A 6622-nucleotide genomic window follows, 5' to 3' on the forward strand; every position below is an offset into this window, starting at 1 on the left:
ATAACTCACTTTAATTATAAAGGTACAAGGTTAAAAGTAAAATAATGGAAAATATACCATGCTGACACTAATCAAAAGTAACCTACAGTGACTATATTAATATCAAAGTAGATTTCAGAGCAAAAAATATTACCAGAGATAAAGAAGATATTTGATTGTTACAAATGAGTCCATTTATCAAATCCTAAATGTTTACACACGTAATAACAGAGCTTCAAAATACGTACAGCAAAAATTAATAGAAATACATGGAGAAATAGACAAATTCACAAAATAGTTAAGGAGCCAACACCCATCTCTCAAAAATTGATAGGACAAGTAGACAGAAAATCAGTAAACAAATAGAAGGCTTGAACAATACTATAAGCCAAATTGACCTAATCAACAAAATTGACAATAGAACATTCTACGCAACAATACATTCTTGTCAAGAGCACACAGAACATCTACCAAGATAGATCATGTTCTACACCATAAAATAAGCCTGGATACATGTAAAAGGATTTAAGTGATACAATATATGTCTTTGATCACAATGGAATTAATAGGGATGGTTTCAGTGCATATATATATATGTCAAAACATCACATTTTACATTTTATGTGCAGATTTTTGTATGTTACACTTTGCTAAAGCTGCTTTTAAAAATATATATAAAGAGCATGAAAAAGCAAGCCTTGTTATCAGGGATATATAAAGAACTACAAATCAATAACAAGGACAAACTTAAGAGAATATAGATGATAGTCATGAAAAGGCACTTCACAGAAGAAATCCAAATGGCCAATAGACAAATGAAACGTTTCCAGAGTCGACCCTTCCCCGCTCTGCAAAATCACTTCTCAAGAAGAAGCCACAGAGTCAGGTGTGTTCAGCACATTTTTGCTCACAACATGTGATTATATCCTTGGAAACCAAGAGTTGTGACCCCACCATTCTGGGTTACACAGATGGTCTAGCCAGAGTGACCAAAGTCCTTGTCTAAATGTCTGAAGTGGGAGTGGAAAGTGGGGAGCTGCCTAGGACCCAGGAAATAGGGGACATTTTTCAGTTGCATGAGTTTCTCCTGAGTCCTCAATGGCTCCATTTATAAATGTCCCTAACCCTGGGTCAGTGTGGGTATCGGGGGAGGAGACTAAAGTTGGTGATGGGGATTGGGGGGATGGGGATTCTGCCTAATTATTTCTAAGCTTCTGACAGCACCCTAAAGCACAAAGACAAACTTCTCTTTCACAATTATTTTCTGAGGATTAATGCCAGAAAAGAAGCCCCCAAGGGTAAAGGGAGCTCTCATTCCACTTCTTCTATCAACAATGCCCTCTTTGTCTCTCTCCTTCCCACCAGACAAGACCAGCCTCCTCCCACAGCCATACGTTGACAACACGTGCCAAGGCCTGGGGCAACAGGGTACCCAGGGTGAAGGGCTCACCCAAGAGTAGGGAGCGAAGAGAAATGTGGAAGCTCAGCACCTCTGTGCCCCAAGAACGATGATGAAGTGGCGTCATTTGTCTGGAGTAATACCCAAGATTCATTGCCTCACGCCAAGGAAATCAAGAAGGTGGAGACGCACAAGGAGGAGTTTAAGATTGGAGGTTTAATAGGCAAAAGAAAGAGAAAAAAGAAAAGCTCTCTCTCCTGCAGAGAGAGAGGGACTTCCGAGTGGGTCTTCCGGTTTTGTGGTGAAATGCACGGGGGGGGGGTTTTATAGACAAGCTTGAGGAGGCAGTGTCTGATTTACATAGGGCCCGAGAGATTAGTCAGACCAGGTGTGCCATTTGCATAGCGCACCAACAAGTTGGCCATCTCACCTTAACCTTTTATTATGCAGATGGGGTCTCTACTTGGCCATCACCACGTTGCCTGCTTTTTTACTGCAAGCGTGTTGACAAAGGAAAGGGAAGAGGGCACCTCCATGTTGAATATACCTGGCTTCCAGGTGTCCCTTTTCTATTGGCACAGCTGTTGGCATTTACCTATGCAAGCTTTTAGCTTGCTTATCTATGCTTGCAGCTTAATTTTTCAGGCTGCTTATTGTTAGAAAAGAAATTATTTGGGGGCTGCTTTTCATTAAAGGGAAATCTTACCACGGACTCTCTTACCCTCACTATCTGCCTAAATAATTTTTTTCTAGCTCCTGTATCAATGACAGAAGGGATCTTTCTTCTCCCTCCCTCTTTTCCACACCTGGGTGCATCTACCTGGTTTGGGGGAGGGTGAGCGACACAAGGAACAAAGGTTGAGAAGGAATCAGCAGAAGAAAAGGCTCAGAACTGAAAACAAAGCATCTTCCACAGAGTCAAATATAACAGCACAGGGCCTAGGATACTGTGTGACCTAGAGAAAAGGGAGCAAAGCCAGCCTTGGGCCCATCTTTCCGCAGAAATCTGGAAGAAACAAAACTATAAACTGGTGAGGTCTTAAGAGTGCACAGGTTTTAAATCTGTAATATTGACCAACAGTCAGCAAATACATTTCTTTCTCACCAGTATGGCAATGATTCAACTGAGCAACAAGTTGAAATCAAAGAACTGGTGGTACGGAGGCAGCATCCTGGTTTTATTCCATGCTCATCCCTTCCTGTTCATGCCTGGATTTTTTTAACTCTTTTTCTTTTTCTTTGTGAAACAGGGTCTCACTTTATCATCCAGGCTGGAGTGCAGTAGCACGATCTTAGGTCACTGCAACCTCAACCTCCAGGCTCAAGTGATCCTCCCACCTCAGCCTCCTGAGTAGCTGGGACAACAGGTGTACACCACCATGCTTGGCTAATTTTTTTTGTTTTTTTGTGTGGTTTTTTTTTGTTTGTTTGTTTGTTTTGAGACGGAGTCTAGCTCTGTCACCCAGGCTGGAGTCCAGTGGCGTGATCTCAGCTCACTGCAAGCTCCGCTCCCAGGTTGACGTCATTCTCCTGCCTCAGCCTCCCGAGTAGCTAGGACTACAGGCGCCCACCACCATGCCTAGCTAATTTTTTTTTTGTATTTTTAGTAGAGATGGGGTTTCACTGTGTTAGCCAGGATGGTCTCGATCTCCTGACCTCATGATCCACCCTCCTCAGCCTCCCACAGTGCTGGGATTACAGGCTTGAGCCACTGCGCCCAGCCTTTTTTTTTTTTTTTTTTTTTGTATTCTTTTGTAGCGCCGTGGTCTCACTATGTTGCCCAGGCTGCCTGAATTTTCTAATAAATTCTCCTTCCTGTACTTTCTTTCTTTCTTTTTTTTTTTTTTATTTTGGAGACAGAGTCTAGCTCTGTCACCCAGGCTGGAGTGCAGTGGTGCCATCTCAGCTCACTGCAACCTCTGCCTCCCAGGTTCAAGTGATTCTCCCGCCTCAGCCTCCCGAGTAGCTGGGATTACAGGTGCCTGCCACCACGCCCAGCTAATTTTTTGTATTTTAGTAGAGATGGGGTTTCACCATGTTGGCCAGGCTGGTCTCAAACTCCTGACCTCAGGTGATCCACCCACCTCAGCCTCCTGAAGTGCTGGGATTACAGGAGTGAGCCACCGCGCCCAGCCTCCACCATGTGCTTTCTAGCATATAATGGCAAGTCTTTCTGCCCATATGAGCATGCAACACTAGAAAGCTGACAGGAGAAAAAAGGCTGGACATGAAGAGCATGTGGGCAGCTCTTGACCCCAGTTGCCAGGTCCTCCTTCTTGACTTCTTGCTGCCCCACAGTAGGACTCTGCAGTTCACCCCCACCGCAAAGTCCTCTACATTTTCACAAGTCCTTACTTAGTGACTTTCTCTACACCAGAATGTTTAGGCCCAGTGAAGTCCTCCCCAGGTTTCAGGCCACTGCCCACCCCAGCAATCAGGCCTTCTTCCACTATGGTTTTGAATGCAGGAAGGCTGAGTCTCTGGGATCCTGGAGCCAGGTGGTGGGGATGGAGGATAGGAGAAGATCCAAGTTCAGAAAGTCAGGAAAGAAATCTTGTGGGAATGTGAATTAATTCAACCATTGTGGAAGACAGTGTGGCGATTCCTCAAAGATTTAGAACCAGAAATTCCATTTGACCCAGCAATTCCATTACTGGGTATATACCTCAAAGGAATATAAATAATTCTATTATAAAGATACATGCACATATATGTTCATTGCAGCACTATTCACAATAGCAAAGACATGGAATCAACCCAAGTGCTCATCGATGATAGACTGAATAAAGAAAATATGCTACATATACACCATGGAATACTATGCAGTCATAAAAAATAATGAGATCATGTCCTTTGCAGGGACATGGATGAAGCTGGAAAACCATTATCCCCAGCAAACTAACGCAGGAATAGAAAACCAAACACTGCATGTTCTCACTTATAACTGGGAGCTGAACAATGAGAACACATGGACACAGGGAGGGGAACAACACACACTGGGTCCTGTCAGGGGAGGATGTAGGTTAGGGGAGAGCATTAGGAAAAAGAGCTAATGCATGCAGGGTTTAACACCTAGGTGATGGGTTGATACGTGCAGCAAACCACCATGGCACACGTTTACCTATGTAACAAACCTGTACATCCTACACTTGTACCCAGGAACTTAAAAAATAAAATAAAGCCAAGCACAGTGGCTCCTGCCTGTAATCCCAGCACTTTGGGAGGCCAAGGCAGGTGGCTTACCTGAGGTCAGGAGTTCAAGACCAGCCTGACCAACATGGAAAAACCTTGTCTGTACTAAAAACACAAAATTAGCCAGGTATGGTGGCACATGCCTGTAATCCCAGCTACTTGGGAGGCTGAAGCAGGAGAATCGCTTGAACCCGGGAGGCAGAGGTTGCAGTGAGCTGAGATCGTGCCATTGCACTCCAGCCTGAGCAACAAGAGCGAAACTCCATCTCAAAAAAAAATAAAATTAAAATTAAATAAAAAAGAAAGAAATCTTCATGGTAACCTTGAAAAACATCGTAGACTCTGCCAAGGAGAGAGAGGGCCAATGCACTGAGGACTGTGGTTGGAAGGTAGAAACATGCTGTTTTCACAAGCTCATGGGGCAGCCCCAAGCAGGTGTGAAAAGGAGGATTAGCAGGAAGAAAATATCAAAGCCCTGAAGGAGAGATCAAAGGTAAAAGTAGAAATGCACAGACATTTCCCCATTTCCCAACCCCACAACACATCTGCTTCCTCCTTCCCCATCATTCTCTCATCTTCTCTCCAGGCCTCAGCTCACACAGGAAGTGATAGCAGAGTCACTTCTTATCCAGGCACCCCTGACCTCTCACCTCCACACCCAACTCATCTGAGGATGATCCCTCTTAGAAGGTATCAGACTTAGGGCTGGACATGGTGGCTCATGCTTGTAATTCCAGTGCTTTGAGAAGCCAAGGCAGGAGGATGCTTGAGGCCAGGAGTTCCAGACCGGACTGGGCAAAAGAGCAAGATTCCCACCTCTACAAAAATTTAAAAATTAGCTGGGCATGGTGGTGTGCACCTGCAGTCCCTGCTGCTTAGGAGGCTGAGGCAGGAAGATCGCTTGAGCCCAGGAGTGAGACTGCAGTGAGCTATGATGGCACCACTGCACTCCAGCCTGAGTGACAGAGCGAGACCCTAACTCAAAAAAAAAAAAAAGAAACTAAGAAAGAATCAGGATGGTGGCTCTGCTAGTCACTACCTGCTTGACAATGAGCAAGTAACTTAATTCTAGGCTGCATTGCATCAATGAGTTGTGAGAATTCAGTGTAGCAAAACCAGCCTATATGAGTTTCCTGAGGGCAGGGAAGATGTGCCTCTTGATCTTCCCTGAAACCCCTTTGCCAAAGACAATGTTCAGCATTTAGAACTTGCTTGGTAAATAGAGCCCATAGTTTGCAGTCCATGCTAGCTACTCACAAATTGTTGTTTTCCTTGCCACAGACTGTGAGAACTACACGGAACCCTAAGGAGCTACTAATCCAGCTGACACACGTGGAAACTGACTCAGACTAAGTGATACATACAGGCCATATGGACTACCAGACACAGGGCAAGACTAGATGCTGGTTCCTCAGACCAGGTGAAGTGCTGATACCAAGGCATGCAATAAGGGGTAAAGGGTGGAATTAGAGAACAAAATGCTGAGAATCTGGCTCCAGGAAGAGAGATAAGAAGGTAGCCTGGACTGTCTCCTAAGCAGGAGTGATTAAAGCACGGGGAACTGGGAAAGAAGAAGTTATGAGTTACAGGGATGATGGGCACTAGGTATTTACAGTAGACGGGATTTATTAAGTACTGTGTACCAGGTGCATGTTATTTCTTTTATTTTACCTTAATTGTTTTAGAAACAGGGTCTCACTCTGTTGCCCAGGCTGGAATGTGATGATGCAGTACAGCTCACCGTGATCTCAAACTCCTGGACTCAAGCAATCCTCCCACCTCACCCTGAGTATCTGGGACTACAGGCATGCGCCACCACACCTGACTAATTTTTTTAAATTATTTTTTGTAGAGTCAGGGTCATTAATCATAATGCTCACTATATTGGGTAAAATCCTTATTAGGAGTTACTCTTTTAAAAAATCAGATGGAGGAGGTTGAAGCTCTAAGCCCAGGTTGCACTGATCTCAGAAAGTGGGATTCAAGGAGAGGAAAACAATGGAGAATTATTACAAATGGATGGTAGGGATGGGGACACCAGGAATTTGGGAT

At 44.3% G+C, this 6622-nt stretch overlaps 2 annotated features.

Annotated features, from left to right (window-relative positions):
- Window positions 1328-2183: an enhancer, noted in NCBI's record as "OCT4-NANOG-H3K27ac-H3K4me1 hESC enhancer chr7:99541581-99542436 (GRCh37/hg19 assembly coordinates)". NCBI's record gives its function as "activates a minimal SCP1, AML or CMV promoter by ChIP-STARR-seq in naive and primed H9 embryonic stem cells {active_cell/tissue: H9 hESC(naive and primed)}" and the evidence as "EXISTENCE:reporter gene assay evidence [ECO:0000049][PMID:30033119]".
- Window positions 3041-3896: an enhancer, noted in NCBI's record as "NANOG-H3K27ac-H3K4me1 hESC enhancer chr7:99543294-99544149 (GRCh37/hg19 assembly coordinates)". NCBI's record gives its function as "activates a minimal SCP1, AML or CMV promoter by ChIP-STARR-seq in naive H9 embryonic stem cells {active_cell/tissue: H9 hESC(naive)}" and the evidence as "EXISTENCE:reporter gene assay evidence [ECO:0000049][PMID:30033119]".

This window comes from Homo sapiens, chromosome 7 (genome assembly GCF_000001405.40).
Source record: "Homo sapiens chromosome 7, GRCh38.p14 Primary Assembly".
Classification (NCBI taxonomy): Eukaryota; Metazoa; Chordata; class Mammalia; order Primates; family Hominidae; genus Homo; species Homo sapiens.